The 17,289-nt window shown below is 34.8% G+C and overlaps 1 protein-coding gene across 2 annotated transcripts in view, besides 1 other annotated feature; it reads left to right on the plus strand.

The window, feature by feature from the left end:
• GPC6 (glypican 6) overlaps window positions 1-17,289 on the plus strand; it is a 1,191,492-nt gene that overhangs the window by 87,829 nt on the left and 1,086,374 nt on the right. The window lies entirely within an intron of this gene.
• Window positions 416-968: an enhancer, noted in NCBI's record as "OCT4-NANOG hESC enhancer chr13:93957026-93957578 (GRCh37/hg19 assembly coordinates)". NCBI's record gives its function as "activates a minimal SCP1, AML or CMV promoter by ChIP-STARR-seq in primed H9 embryonic stem cells {active_cell/tissue: H9 hESC(primed)}" and the evidence as "EXISTENCE:reporter gene assay evidence [ECO:0000049][PMID:30033119]".

Here is a 17,289-nt window from a genome sequence, read left to right on the forward strand (position 1 = left end):
TGGCTTGTCTGCTGGTAGATGGCAGTTGCTAGCCTTGTCTTTAGGCACTCTCCTGGCTTTCCAAAGGCCCTGCTCACAGTTCTGGAAAATCTCTAGAATCTTCCACATTTACCTCTGTCTTAACTTCCTCTTGGTTTTCCCCACTTTGATTCAAAGAGTCTGTGGCTCCATATGTAGACTTCTACCTGGATTTGAGTTCTCCATAGTTTTCACTATGTTTTGGAGAACATAGGAACTGTTATTGAGAAATTATTCTGACACATGTTAATGACACAAAGACAGATTTCATTCGAGGTACTGCAGAACGGAAGAGGGACTACTTCACTATGGATCTGAGTTCAATTCCAAATACAACAGAGACAGGTGAGGATTTACAGCTAATGGGCAGAGTGAGAGTCAGTGGATAGAGAATTACTAAGAGGATCTTGATTAGATATTTAGGGTTGGGGGATGAGGAGCTTGATGCTATGTTGAGAGTGGGTGGGGGATTCTGATTAAAATTGGCTGAAGAGGGAGTCTTTGTCTATACAAGTATGTTTGGCTTTCTCTGTTTTGGCATCTTACCTTTGTGCTGGCAGAGAACCTCCTGCCCCACCTCTTTATTCTATCCTCCAGCCTTCATTCCTCAACTTCAGATTCTTGAAATCCACAACAGGATCATTCTCTACTTTCTGTTTGAAGTCATGCAGCTGGAGCAGGTGATGGTATCAGGATTCAGCTAATTTACATTTGAGTTCCAGCAGGAGCTCTTAACACGGCCTGCCCATCAGACACACCTGGGGTCGTTTAAAACAAGCAACCAACAAGTATAAAACAAGAGTCCTCTCTATCTGGCCTCACCTCAGGTCAATTTTATCTGTACCTCTGGGGTTGAACCCAGGCAGTCGTTTTTTTTGTGTGTGTGTTTTTGTTTTGTTTTGTTTTGTTTGTAAAACTTCTCTAGTGATTATGATGAGCAGCCTGCTTTGAGGAGCAAAGACACATAAGACCCCTTGCTCAGCACCTGATGGGTATCTCAGTTTGCTGTCGTACTGGGACCACAAGCAGTAAATAGGAGAACAGGATTGGTGATTATTGTGAGGCAGGTGCTATTTTTCTCAGAACAGTTAAGAGATTTACAGAAGATGATAGAATTAGTGAGGGAGCTGAGAGCCATCTGTTTCTGATATCCAAATCGATGCCAACTCTATCCATGAAAGAGCCACGGAGATACTACTGATACTACTGAAGGTAGGAAGCATTAAGTCTCTTATTTTTTGAATATTGTTCCATCCTAAATGTTTATTCTTTGTTACAGCTTTCACTTCCTTTCTTCTAGATATGTTGTCTTGCATTAGGGCCCACAGATGTATTATGAATGGCTTAAAAACTTTATTCTTCCAACTTTTCAGATTGCATTTTGTACAGAAAAGCGATACAGATTTGATTTTAGTTTCCTATTTCCTAAATGACTTTATCAAGCAATCTGCTTTCCAGATTTGCTTTTATTTTTCTCCTGTTTTTCTACATGTGCTTATCAAGCAATCAACTTTTTGCCTCCCATATGCACTGAACTATATTAGAAAATAAAATATTAAAACCAAAGAGCAGAAAGTGCAGATTACCAAAAGATTAAGGTAGTTTTAAAATGTGCTTGTTTCCCATGTAAATGAATGGAGGGTTAGTATATTCAGTACAAATTATGTTTAGAATATTAATCCACAGAGTTTATAACATGCTGTGTATGACACATAAAGTAATTATGCAGTGGGGTACTGAACAGTCACATTCCAATGTATGTTATTGACATCTTTTTCTTGTTAAAAAGTGCAAAGTGGAAGCAGAATATCAAACAAAATAGTTATTATTTTATGGTAAAAGATTGAAATGTAAAGACAAATGATAATGAAATAAGCATGTGATTAAAGCTAATGATGAGAGTAAACACTGTATCCAAAGGTTTTGCTATTTTGGTGAACTGGATATATTTTCTTAGTGATTTCTGATGATTATGTGTGAGAAAATTCTGTCTGTCAGCCAGCATATAAATAGAGCCAACTTGTTTGATTCATTGTTTAGCTGGATCTTGAATACATTTAGAAAGCCCTTTTATTTGACTGATTTGATCAATCTGGTGATCTATTTTCCTAAAAAAAAAGATTTCAGAGGGGACAACAAAATATAATCACTAAATCTTAAAAGCAAAAGTAAACAAATTTAGTACTTTACCAGAGGAAAAAATGTTGCTAAATATCTCATGTAACTGATTGATCTAGGATTTCACTTCAAATAAATCCTATATCCTAGATAGTCATATGAAATTATCTGATATTTCAAAACAACTTAATTCATTTAGGATTTAAAGAAAGCTAAATTTATTGAATCATGGGAATAAAAGGAATCTCATCTAGACATTTAGTCTATTCAATTTTTTGAAGTTACAGATCAAAAATATATGTTTAAGTAGCTATTCTTTGTAATTTTGTAGCGTGTGGTTCATATTACATTTTGACACAGAGCATATTTGTTTTTTCATTTTAAATACGCATGTCCCCTAGCAAACTCTCGGTTCCAATAGGGTAGGGAGCATGTTCTGTCTTTATAACCCTAGTTTTTATAATGGTGCTTAGAAGAGCAATAAATGAAGCTTAGAAGATCAGTGGTGCTTAGAATCTGCTGAATAAATGATTTTTGAATTTTTATTTTTTTATTTCTTTTCTGTTTTAAAATATTGCCAGTGAAAGAGGTATCCTAGTTTCTATTGGTAACCAATTGTAGATTTTTTTCTTATATTTAATCGACTATTCATTCTGAATTGGAGAAAAAGAAAGATTTGACAGATACATATTTTTAACAAGATGTTGCATATATGGCAGTAGTACAATGTAATTTCTGGTATGGGTGAAATTATAGCCATATGTGTGCCTAATCAACTTAAATCCTGCCTGTGAAAAGTGAATCATGTACTCTTATTGTTATTTCACATGTATATATTAATATATCATTATCTGGCTCTTGAAGTTATTCAGATTTTATGATGAATCAAATGGGAAGAGGGATGAAATTTATCCTTGCTTAGTAATCTTAACCACATAGGAAGTTCAAGCAATGGTTATTTAGTGTGCAAGGGGAAAAGTTAAAAATACTCAAAATACTTTATAAAATAGTTATTATAATAATTCTAATTATAAACCACTCATACCTATGTATGGAAAGAGCATAAATAAAGTTAGATTGGCTCTTTCTATTAACACCATCATATTAACTCAGTATGAGTTTACATATATGATTGAGGATAGTTTTAAAAAGCCACTATGTAAATGTCATATACGAGACATACTCTTTGATCAATTACTGAGAGTAATGAGGTGTATGATAAACTTTTATAATAATACTTATTTTTATGACAAAAGATCTTTTGAGATCTATTGTAAAACTATGGTGACTATGTTAATAATATATTTATATTCTTGAAAAATGCCAAGAGAGTGAATGTAAAGTGTTCTCACCACAAAAATGATGACTGCAAGTTAAAGCATATGTTAATTAGCTAGATTTAGTCATTTTACAAACATATTGTACACTGTAAATATATACAGATTTATCTGCCAATTTACAAAAAGAAAATAGGTCAATTGAAAAATGGTGGCCGGGCATGGTGGCTCAGGCCGGGCACGGTGGCTCACGTCTGTAATCCCAGCACTTTGGGAGGCCGAGGTGGGCGGATCACGAAGTCAGGAGATCGAGACCATCCTGGCTAACATGGTGAAACCCCGTCTCTACTAAAAATACAAAAAAATTAGCCGGGCCTGGTGGCGGGCGCCTGCAGTCCCAGCTACTCGGGAGGCTGAGGCAGGAGAATGGCATGAACCCGGGAGGCAGAGCTTGCAGTGAGCCGAGATTGCGCTACTGCACTCCAGCCTGGGTGACAGAGTGAGACTCCATCTCAGAAAAGAAAAATGGTTATTGTTAGACAAAAAGCTGCCTGAGGGCATAACTTATAATTACATATCCTTAGTGACTGAGAAGTAACTGGTGCATAGCAAGTCCTCTGACACTGGCTGAAATTGTTGAACCAAATTTAAATAATTGGATCTATAGTCATGTGTTATTTATTTATTTAGAGATTGAGTCTGGCTCTGTTGTCTAGGCTGGAGTGCAGTGGCATGATCTCAGCTCACTGGAACCTCTGGTTTCTGGGTTCAAGCAATTCTCCTGCCTCAGCCTCCTGAGTAGCTAGGATTGCTGGTGTGCACCACCACAGCCAGCTAACTTTTGTATTTTTAGTAGAGACAGGGTTTTGCCATGTTGGTCAGGCTGGTCTCGAACTCCTGACTTCAAGTGATCTGCCCGCCTTGGCCTCCCAAAGTGCTGGGATTACAGGCGTAAGCCACTGCACTGGGCTGTCATGGGTAATTTAATTTCTGAAACTTTATTACACATAATAGGACTGCATTTATAATCTTAATTTTTTTATGGCTAAGAAAATATTAGGAAGAAAGCAAACTGCAACAATGTTTTATATGTATTTAGTTTATTTCAGTGGGAATACTGATCATCATTGTAGGATCATAATTGAATAATTTATCCTCTTAAACATTCCTGTTTGAGAGAATGCTGGTTCATTCATTCAGTCAGTCATCCATTTTTTGATTTAATGGGCACTTATTGAGTAGGTACTTTTTTAAGGAAACTACTATAGTGGAACAAAATACTGAACTGGAACAATGAACTGGAAAATACAACAGATCCAAATATTTTCCTCCCGTCAAAGAGACCTTTATTTCTTTTTAGAAGACCATGCTGCCTAGGTATATTGGACACAAATAATTCTTGTTTACAATGTAAATGATATGCTTTTTGAAAAGAATTTAAAGGTTCTTGATATAACAAATTGTGACTTTTTAAGTATAAAAGTCAATATTTTGGTAGGTAAGTCTTTATTTTTGTGATAAGAAATGACTTTAAAAACATTTATTTCACTATAATATTTGAAATATAAACATAGCGATAATTCATGATGTTGCTATTTTTTTGGTTAGCATGAATATACACATTTATGCTTGTTCTCATTTTGGATGAGTGATTCTAATATTATTATATATTCTGTATTATTTTAAAAGCACTTTGTCAACTTAACACACAATGTATTTTTATATGTATTTTTCTAACTTAGTTATGCTTTTAGTTTAATAGCATGACATGTTTTAAACATATTTTAAACTATAATTGGTAGAGGCAGTTTAAAGTATATACACTTTAGTATAAACATAGTCATACAGCAAGTATATTAACTTGGGAAAAACATACAGAAACACAAGAAGCTATCATTATTTTCATGAAGCCATAATTTTGTTACTTTTTATTTTTATAAATATAGAAGAAAGAAAAGCCCTGAATGGTTTGGTGATCATGTGGGGATATAATGTACGTAGTAATGTTACACAGTGTAATAGTTATTGTTTCTTGATGGTTCTTCTTTACTTAGACATAAATTCCAATGTAAATCAGTTTGCTTGGGACAGTTCTGGTTGATACTTGTTGTACCTTCTAAATTGTTAAGAGCATCTACTTGTATTGTAAAAAGTGACCTGCTTTGGATGATTAACTACGTGGTCACTGCCATCACAAAGCATTTTGTAAGAAGGGTTGTTTGTGAATGAACTAGTTGTGAAAGTTGACAGCTCCTCCCTAGACTCCTAGGAAGCCTGACGTGACTGGTTACTATGGTAACAGAGTACTATGTGAATACACATTTCACACAGTCTCATAGAATCGTACATGTCCAAATCTCCCATTCAGTCTTTCTTGTAAATGGTGATCTGGCTTCCACTTGATTACTCTCTGTGACCAAATAGAAACTACAACCTCCCTCTGCTTCTCATCTGTATTTTTCAATGCTCAGGAAAGAGGGTGCAGCTGGAGAAACCGTATAAAAAACAATGCAGCTAATTGTTTCCAGTCAAGAAACTCCACCAGGCCTCATCTTCCTTCTTCCTGCTTCCTTCTACGTCAGTTCCCAAGAGCTTGGGGTTTTGACTTTTTTGTTGAAGCCTCTGCCAGGTCCATCTCCGTGGAGTGAGCAAAACCAGAATCACCCTCAGGAGGCACTTTGGAAACACAACATTCACATTTCTGTATTACCATGTCGAGTGGTTGTCATGAACTTGTAGTGATTGGATATTAAAGTAACTAGACTTTCTGCATTGCTCAGAGATGCCTTTAGTCCTTAAAGCCCTTCAAATATCCTTCAAACCAGTCCCATAAGGAAAATCCTGTATATAATTTTCCGGTTTTGGAAAGTTAGTCTACTATATATTAAAAATTATTTTCCCATGGTTTTATTATACCATAAACTTTTTGAAAATGCGACTACCATGTCCATGGAGAGAAGACGCTACTTTGTTGCATTCTATATTTTAGGAGCATTGTGCGCTGTTGTAACTAATCATAATATGATGGCTACACTCGTTTTGGTATTTGAATAACTGATATGACACATTGCATCATATCTGTCTTCTCATCTTCCTCGCCTAAGCATTTACCTTCTAACTACTACTATTTTATTATAAACAATTTTTACAAACTACGAAATCCTTTTACAGTTTATACTATAATGAGGACTTTTATCTGATGAAAAAATATTGAGTAGGTAGCTTACGTTATCTAAGAATATCCTTTCTGATATAAAAATGAAGAGTTGGGTCTCAAAGGATTCACTGCCATTGTGTCATCACTGCCTGTGGAACCCAGAAATTGCATTACCCATGGCCCTAAAGTCTAGACCTCCGGCATCAGAAAGGGTAGGGCAATGCCAGCTGGGACTCACTATGCTTATGGAGGAAATTTTGACACCTTTTCTATTTCTGGAAGGCTTTGGTTTTCAGATAATTTTTTTGCAAGGAATGAGATATGTTTACCTGTGTCTTAACATGCATTCATTTTACATTTCCCTGTGGGAGCACACAGAAGAAACTAACATTTCCTTTCATGTGATGACCCTTGAGCTATTTGAATATAGCTGGCATTCAGTTTCTTCTCCCAATCCCCCTGTGAATGTTTTGAAGGCCCTGGACTCATCTTAAGTCAGGGAGGGGAGACTCTTCTCTTTCAGACATAGGACATTATGCCTCTACTATTGCAAGCAAAGACACCACCCCTTATTTATTTCCTGGTTCCGGTAATCCCATAATAGTGTTGACTTATACTGCTTTTGAAATCAACCAAGCCCTACACAGTCTATTGTAATTACTGTAGTTGAACTATGCTTCCTTTAAATTTGGGATTAATTTTGTGATCCCTGGAACTTCATAGAAACCTAGAGACATAGATTCTTTGTAAACAAATAATGATATAAATAGAGAAAGATATCTCCTTGACCCCTATGCAGTGCCAGTTTTCTGTCCTGCACTATACTCTGGATTGGTAAAAAGGTAGTGGTGGAAGCAGTGACAGAATCCAAACCTGATGCAGACTCATACTTCAAGAATCATTAAAGTACGTGTTCTTCCAGCTTCTCGCCTGGATGTCGGTTAACTACTGAGGGTACAAAGGCAAGATGGGTCTTTGGGGTAATCAGGCAGAAGCAATTTTAGCTCCTGATGGGAGGTAAAAAAGAAAGAAGCTAAAGAGAAAATGCACACCTTAACAGAATAACTCAAAAAAGTTATGGAGAGTTATGTGAGTAATAAACAACTCATTAGGAAAGTTACTTTGGCTTAGAAAGTACATAAGCAGCCTAATTATGTAGTCATTTCACATCTATCTTATGTGAAATTGGCAGTACCAAACAAACAGCTTCTCTTTTTTTCTTTTCTTATTCCAGGTCTTTGGAAAATAGTCAGTTTTTTGTCTGATAAATTATCTCTTTTGTTGAAATTGATTTGTGTTACTGCTTTTCATTTTTGAGCAGATTTTCTCATTATTCGTTTATATCAAAGTGTCAATAGATCCTGAGAACAGGGTACACTTATGTCCTGTGTATATAGTGTGCATTAAAGGGCCTTATTCCCAAGTCAACTTTCTTCCACGTTGTGAGTGGCATATGTACACCTATTGCTTGCTATTTTGAGTTTTAAATTATCTAAGCAAGAAAGCCTGAAACTAATTAAACTCCAGTGGTTTATTTATTAATATTAATTTACAACCTGATGGCTTAATCAGTATCCTGCTTTCTTTTTTTTCTTTAAAGACTTGGCATAATTTTACATAGCCTTGTGATTGCTTTGAAAAGGCTGTAGTGTTCTTCCATCATTAGATGACAATTTTCTTTTCTAGTTTGAAAACTTAGCTTAAGTTCTCAAGTCAATATGCCTATAGTGAACCATTTATTGAAGGGGTGTTCATTGCGAATAGCATGGCCAATTAAATGAAGAATAATTGGTTTAGTTGAGCACCTTGCAATACTTCTCTGGTTTAGAATACTGCAGAAACTCAATGGTTCTTTCTCATGCTGTGTGTGATTTTGCTTTGTTTAAAACCTGATGTGCCTAAGTAGATTTACCTTACCAGTAGATGGTTTAATTTGATTTTAATGATATTCTATTTGGCTCTATAAACTGTACTGAAGCCAGCGCTGCCATGCTGTTAAAAATGTAATCTATTCTATAATGGCATTAGGTGATAATGAAAGCAGATATTAGAGACATAACCATTTTCATATTTAATAGAGAAGCAATGTGTTCTAGGTAATGAAGTTAAGACTTCACATGACATTGTCAGCACATGTTAACTCTATGTTTTGGAAGGCTGCTTTTTAGACCTAAGTAAATATAATTCAAAATGCCCCTATACTTGTTTATCTATTAGATGCTCTTGTTTTGTTTTACACATCATAACTGCCAGGATCATTTATTTGGCAGAGCCTCAGAATAAAAACAACTCAAACCAACCAAACAAACAACAACTAAGAACTAATAAAATCTTTGAAGCTTGAAACTGTAGAAATGAGGTAAATTTTTTTTTTCCTTGGATAACTACTTCCAATCTAGTATTTGAATGGCAAACAACTAAGCAACATTTGTATGCTTTTCTTTTGAAGTAAGGTGGAAACATTTTTCATCAGTTTTTCAACTGTTAGTTGGAATATTTGTGATCACTTTAAAGTGTGACAGTAATATGAAACTCCTGAGATGACCAGCAGCATAGCCTTTAGCCCATTTGTGTTCATTTTAAATATGCTTTTATTGAATAATTAATATGTCTAGACACTTTATTGTGAAAACTAGAAATTTTTCCTATCCACTCCGGTGTAACCCGTGTAAATAGTTTCCTGTGTATACCCTCTATACATTTTCCATCATATATAAGCAAGCATGTAATAGATTTTTTTTTTAAAGAGACAAGATCTTGATATGTTGCCCAGGCTGGAGTACAGTGGCTATTCACAAGTATGATCATAGTGCACTATAGCCTAGAATTTCTGGGCTCAAACAATCCTCCTGCCTCAGTCTCTCAAGTAGCTGGGACTACAGGTATCTACCATTGTGCCTGGCCTAAAATTTTATCTTCTAAAGATTATAAAAATGAGGGAATTATACTATGTATACAGTTCTCCAACTGGCTATTTCATAAACAATGTACTGTGCAACCTTTTCTGTATCAGGCACATATGTTTTCTAATGAATGCCTAGGATGACATTGTAGGTATGAACTTCATGCTTAACTTTAGTTTGTTCTTGGTTGTTTTCCAATTTTAAGTTTGAAGTTAGATGCAGTTACATGAAGCAAGTGAACTCTATTCTGGTTTTCCTGCCTCTAAGATGCCTTTTGTCATTAGTTCTGCTATCTTCAGAGATAAACAAATACATTTTATAGGCAGACAGAATTGCATAAAAGAATTTTTTTTCCTCTTGGCTTATTTTTTTCTCAATAATTTCTTTTATCCCTGGAAATAATACAACGTAATGCATCAAATATATACTTGACACATGCTTTCAAACCAAGCCATTGTAGGTGAGACTGACCTGGAAAACAGATACAGAATCAAAGTGATCACATCAGTTAAGCACAGCAATACACCCTCTTACAGTGAAAGACGTTCAGAGCAATTCATGAGTATGAAGGACAAAACACGGTTAGGTTAAGGATTAGGAACAGATGACCAGGTTGGGGAAATAAAGTTAATATCTTATACTCCCCACATGGTATTCTCATGTTTTTCACACTCCAACCGCCTATAAAATGGCAGCACATAATTTAGGCCATGAGTTCTGTCTTTGGTATGAGAATCGGACTGGGATTTAGGAGACCTTGGTTGCCTTGTTTAGCTACTATCAACAGCAAATAAAGTTGCATGAGCATAACTGCAGCAGAGAATGCAAGAGAATGGAGTTCAGGAAAAAATGAGGGCCTAATTAGATAGAAAACAAGGAGGGGTGTGTGTGTGTGTGTGTGTGTGTGTGTGTGTGTGTGTGTGTGTGCACGCATGTGCTGAGAAATGAGGAGATTGGTTATGATGTTATACAGTAAATCATTTTATAGAAGAAGATTAATCTGGGAGTAAATTGCAAAGCCAAAGGATTACATGGCTAGGCTGATAAGTTGTGCTTTTTTGTTTTGTTTTGTTTGTTTGTTTGTTTTTTGGTAACTCAGTTCTGAAGTTGATGAGAACCCAGATTTGTATGTCATAGCAGTAGAAACAGAGAGGGAACAGTTTGAAAGTATTCAAGTTAAAAGTTGAAAACAGTACATTGTTGGTTTGAAAGATGGTTAAAGAGCTTTAATTTCCTAATTATTTTGATGGATGAGAAGGAGGGAGGGGACTTTTTATCAACTAGTTATGTCCTTTTGAAAAACAAGTTGTTTGATTTTTTTATTAAGATCTAAATTTTAAAACATTACATCCTTTTAAAACATTAACTTAAGTTTTTGTTTATTTAAAGAGATATGTTGTTTGTTATGAACAGGATGTTACTATGAAATTTTTTGAAGATTGTATTTCTTTTTCTTTGCCATAAAAAATGAATATGATCATATTGTGGATAATTGTCCTAACCATAATTATAGCTCTGTTTTCTAGGGAAACAATGAAATATATTCTTGGAAGAAAATAAGTTTAGAAAATACTCTTTAATCATCCCAGTGCAATTATATTCATTATTTATTTTGCTTTTTAAATCAGTAAATTATTAGCTACTGAAAATTATAATTACTACCAATGAATAGATAAGGCTTTACATATTTCATCATTTAATTAATGATTAACTATTTTTTTGACTTTACAAGTAAATCATTCATTTTTGGAAATTTAAGTCAACCACTAAATATTAATATTCTTTATATAATTTTACATTATTTCACTAAGACTAAAAGTGTACCTAAGATTGGTTGTTGTGAAGTTTTAAAAATGTGTATGCTTTTATTTTAAGAGATTAATATTATATATTATTAGGATATTATATGAGCAAACATGTTTTCTTCAATTTTTTTTTAACCATGTATGTAGTCAGTCATTACTAAGAGAGAGTGAGTGGGGAGTCACTGCCCCATCCCTTTATCTCTGCGTACCACTGTTCTGAAGATATTTTGTTGATGACATATATGAGCAAGATATTTGGACAAAGAGTCTGTTTTCTGATCCTCTAGCTAATATGCATATATATGAAAAAAATTAATAACGTTCATATATGTGCTGTCTTTTGTTCATGCTCAAAGCAGTCTCAATGATTTTTTCACAGGGGTGTTCTCCTGTATATACTTGAGGCCACCATCAGATTTTTAAATCCAGGCTTAGAATAGTGACTATAACCAGGTTTATCTTCTTTTATGCATCCATGGTATATTGCCTTCTAAACTGTACCCAAATTCTTTATCAGAATCATTTTTAACAAAGTGCTCCAAGCTGTAACCTTCATTTGATGAACCTTGCTCTTTGAGTGGAGAACTATTTTTTATTCATGCCCTAGACTATTACCAAGCAGAGAGCTTGAAGGCAGTCCATTGTCCAGATATACTAATAAAATCGACATTCATGGCTAGTTTTCCTAATGTGTGGGTATATGTCATTATCCATTCATGGTTTGTCTTTCATGCTTTTCATACACATCAAGCCAAATGTCTGGGACACAAAGATGTCCAATATTTCCTTAATTTCAAGGAGCTCATAATTAAGTGTTACAGGAGAACACATGAACAAATTATTGTGCAGGTTGAATAAAGCTATTAGGTATAATGTGAAAGTATGCTCTAGGGCATAAAGGGAAAAAATGATGAGAGTGTTTATACTCTAAACTGCTATCATCATTGGAAAACAGCAGCTTTTAAACCGAATAATTTCTTTAGCAATCACTAAATAATAGTTAAAATAAAAGAACCATCTCTTTAGCCCTTATTACATGCTAACACCTACAAATATTTAATTATCAAATACCTCTTTAAAATTAGCCTTATACCAAAGTATTTTACTTTGATAAATCAGAGCTCATGAGCCTTTTCTCCAGACTCAACAAATCAAAATCTTATAATGTTATGAGGAACTCACGGATTAAATGTTTGTTTCATTGCTCAGCATACGTTTTAATGTATTTTGCTTTTCTGAGAAGGTGTTGTACCTTGTTTTCATTTAATTTCTGTAGCATATACACTTAGTGCTTAAGCTGTCATTATCTGATCTGCATTTGAGGAGCAAGCTATGTTAGCACTGTGAGCCATTCTCATTTGCAAGTCAATAATTGTGACAGTGCTTCTAAGTATGTAGACCTGTATTATAAATGTTAGGGGAGGTTTAGTAATGTAATGGGAGAGGCGGTCCCCATTCTTATCCTTTGTGTTACTTACAATTGGCTGACTTTTAACACACTCATGGGGTGTTTTATATGTGGTCCTGCGTTCAGAAATCAAATTCAGATTTTAGCAATTCTTTCATTAGCATTTTCTTTCCTATTAAGAATTTGAATGGGCACATACCAAGTCATTTAACCCTGCCTAAGCATCTTTTATCATTGAAAATATTTGATAAACTTATCAGACACCTCAATGTTTTCCTGAACAGAAAAAGTGACTTAATATTAATCTTTACAACCAGAGATTTGACGAAAGCTCTGCTTGTATTAGTTGGAGACCTCCCATGCTTCAAAGTGTGTTGCTTCAGGTTGCCTTAGTTTGTTGGATAACCAGGCGCCTCTTTGAATTCACTGTATGCTTGTGATTAATGTCATTCACACAACTTCTCTTTTCTTTATCCACAACCCAATGTTTTAATGAGATATGCTTTTCTGTTTTGTTTTATGTTTCTATTGTTTTCTAAGTTGGATTACTGAAAGCTTTTAGTCTGAAGGAAGGGAAAGGCCTGTGGAATCAATGCTGAACCTCTGTGGTGCCTACATTTACTTTTTTATCAACTTTATCAGAAAACTGAGTGGACCATGGTAAATTCTTAATTGGTTTTGTTAAAACTACCAGTGAAGAGTGAAACACATGGAGCAGGCTTGAAACTTAATTGAAATCCAACATCAAGTATTTCTTGTTATACAGTCTGTCTTTTTTCCTTTTGGAATTTCTTTTGTCTGTTACTGTGCTATGATAAGCTCATCTGCGATTTCAGCACTTTGGAAGAGATATTTTACAAAGGAGGGGAGGATACAAGAGGAATGATAAATGGCAAGGAAAACCACTCACTCTTAATGCTTTTTGTCATACTCATGTCCTCTTGTCCCGTCAAACATACCTTTTCTGCAATGAATTCAACTCATGTTATGTGACATTGTCATTTTACAAGGGAAGACTAGCCAGAGAATTTCTGATGGATGCCAAAGACATGGAGTGGTACTTTACATTTTGTAGGTGATTGATAGGTTTAGTGTCTTGTATCTAGAAAGTGGACACATAGAGTAGAGCAGCTTATTCGAGACTCTTCTCCCTCCGTCCATAGCCAAGGAAATTATAGGAAGCATTCTAGTTTGTTGAATGGTTCATAAATATGTGACAGTTTTTTTTGTTGGTTGGTTGGCTTTTGTTGTTTGATACTAATGGACCAAGAAGAAAAAAAAAGCAAATTTTTATTTTGAATAATGAGGGTGAATGAGTAATATGAGTAGTATAGTTCTTTTCTGTAACAAATTTCAGATAACTTGATTTAATTGGGAATAACATGTTTTCTAACATAGAAAAAAGAATATTGAGACTCCAGTTCAACATGGTAACATGAGCAAATATGTTTATCTCTATACCCTCCTGAATATCTCACTAAGGCTAAAATAAAGGGGAAAAAAGGATAGAAACATACATGAATAAAGAGGATTGGAGAGGAGATAACAATCAGTTAGAAATACTATGAATTTATGGATAATATAAATTAGAAGGAGGGGTTTCTAGAGCAGAAGAAGTTGCATACCTAGTGCTTGCAGGGGGAGGTGCCAACAAGCAGGAAGCAAAATCATGATTCAGAACCTGGGAGAGGACAGCAATTGGCAATGTGAGGAAGTGCGGAAGCCAGTTGTGAAATACGGGGCTGAAACAAGGAAGTTTGTTCAAAGTCTAAGTAGGGTATGTTATAGCTTTGCTATATGTTATAGTTTTGCTAAATTTTATAAATGTTGCTATATGTTATAGCTTTCCCTGCATGAACAGACACTGACTACTGGAGTGCCCTTACTCTAGTCAGAATGAGGTTTATTCTATGGAGACATTGAACTTAGAGAGGTTGCATACATTGGAACACCATGCACAGCTGGGGGTGGAGTCAGTCTCACAATACACAGTGAGATATCCCATCAATTACTTCCGATAGCACTGGCAGACTGGCCTATAACTGTCCCCTCATGCATCTCTACACAGATTAGTGAAAGCTAATTTTCTGGAGAAACTGGCTCCAGAGGAAAGAGATGGTGACATTTGAAGAGTCAGGTCACATTTGAAAATCTGTTCACTCTGCAGTGAAACCCTTTGGTTGACAAGCTGCAGCCCTCGTGCATAGTGTTCCTAGGCTGTTTATTTTCTCACTTGTAAATATGTATAAGAATCACCAAGTGTTTGGAGTGTGCTCTGACAAGAAATAAATAGGCCACAAGAAGGGGAAAAACCCACTAAAAAGGAAATTGGAGAAACTAAATTAATAGGTATGGATCAGAAAAAATGGCTTAAATAAGCAAGAGAGAATGTTAACTTAGAGAAATAAAAGTTGCATCCACAAAACAGAATGTGATGCTATTACTGTCAGAGCTAATGAAGAACAAGAGAGACCTTGTGAGAACTAAAACTTTGGAAGCAGGAGTAAAATAAAGAGTAGAAGCATTTGAGCATTAAGGGTGTATCCTAGAAAATAGAACAAGTAGAACATATAGTATCCAGCTTACACTGTTTTCAGAAAAAGAGCAGAACAAATAAAATAAATTCTCAAAGTAATAAAATTAAGTCCCAGGACGGAAGGAAAGGTGCTTCCACATGCTGAGTGCATTGCCAAATTAATGAAAAATGGGTAGAAACAAAATCGCAAAATTTCAGAACGCTAGGCATGAAGACCAGATCACAGAGGCCTCTAGATGAGAAAAATACATATGTATTTTTCTCCTTCATATACAACATATGAAGGATTAAGAATCCAAGTGACATAGGATATACATGGAGCATAGTGGAAACTAGAAGTGAAAGAAAATCGCAAAACAATAGCTGTTTGACAGCTCTAGGGAACAACAAACCCAAATTGGAGCATGAGCCCTGATGGCTTCAGGAAGATAGATCAACTGATATCTTTGATCATATGAAAATCCATACTGAAAGTGATTTTAATGTTGGAGAATTTTGGAGTCTAAGCAAAGGGGAAAAGGACAGGCAACTGTTAAATCCAGGAAAAATATAAAGTTTTACAAGAAGGGAAATATCATAATAGACTATTTGGCTTATCAGAGAAAATATATACTCATAATAATGCAAATACTGCCTAATACCTTTAAAAAGTGAAATTTTATATTTGTTCCAGAATAACTGACTCTTAGGAGTTATACATTGCCTTGCAGTTATTAAGGAGTAATAAATTACCAAGTATATTCTTTTAACTACATTTTAAAGTGATTCCCTTATATATATAAATTTTTTAAATGTTTAGCTATTTATTAAAGAAAGTGCTCAAAGTAAAGGAGAGGGCTTCAATTCATTAGAGAAAAACAAATAATATTAGTAAACTATTGGAATCAGAATGTTTTGAGAGGAAACGAATTATCTTGTTGCTGATAGATATCTCAGAATTTTAAATGATATTAAGTATATGGACTAAGTGGTATTGTTTATATAAGAATATTGTGACTTTCGCAAATAGTGATAACCATCTGGGAATATTTCTTCTGGAAAGTAGTGTATATATTATATATATATATATACACACACACTCTATTATGATATTCTTTTGATGATATGATGGATTCACTTTGGGGCTATAGCCACAGAATTATGTAGTATAGCAGTAAATTGATTAGCAGTTTATTAAACTGCAAAAGAAAATTCTGTAACTTTCTTTTCTGTTCAACTACTAATGCTTTACAAATAAGAACCGGTGTTCAACAAATCTTCATGGCGGAGTACAGAGTGATTTTTAAGACAGGTGAAGTATTGTGTTTCTCATTGCTAATTCAACGAATTTCTATTGTAACAATAGCGGTTTTTTAAATTGCAATGGTTTTTGTTTTTTCTCTAATCAGCACCATGCTGCTTATAAATGAAAAGGTTCACTTTAAATTTTTTTCTGCAGTATGCTTGATTGTTAATTTCCAGGTCAGCATCTAGTCTATCAAAGTTTCATGGGATGATAATTTATGGTTATAATGGACAGTCTATTTAAAACTATGATGAGGTCACTCTGTCTTAAGAAGCTGAAGTACTGTATTCCATTCTCTCGCTTACTCAGAATTGCATCACGTTAGTTTGCTAATTTCCCATCTTTAAGGATTGTGTTTTGTTCAAATAAAACTTCAGCCTTCCCAGTGCCTAATTTATTACTAGCCATTCACATTTCATTAATTGGGTGCCTGATTTATTAGGCAAATCGCATTACTTGCTTTCTTCCCTTCCCTCCCCTCCATTTTCCTTCTGCTGCCCTCCTTACCAGGTAAAGGAATGATTTCTCTTTCCCAGGTAGTGCTTTCTTCTGTTATTTCTTGGATTTGAGGGTTCTAATCTTATCTCGTGCTGTATATAGTGCAGATTTTAAGTTTAACTAAAAAATCCTTCTCTGATTCCAGCGTCAAATATACTATTTTTAGAACTGTAGTTGAATGAATTTAGCACATTTTCCAGCAATAACAATAGAATCAGAGGTTCAGAGAATTAGGGTTGAAATGGACCTTAGAATGTGTTTATTTTAAACCCATCAAGTTCAAA

Source organism: Homo sapiens, chromosome 13, assembly GCF_000001405.40.
Source record: "Homo sapiens chromosome 13, GRCh38.p14 Primary Assembly".
NCBI lineage: Eukaryota > Metazoa > Chordata > Mammalia > Primates > Hominidae > Homo > Homo sapiens.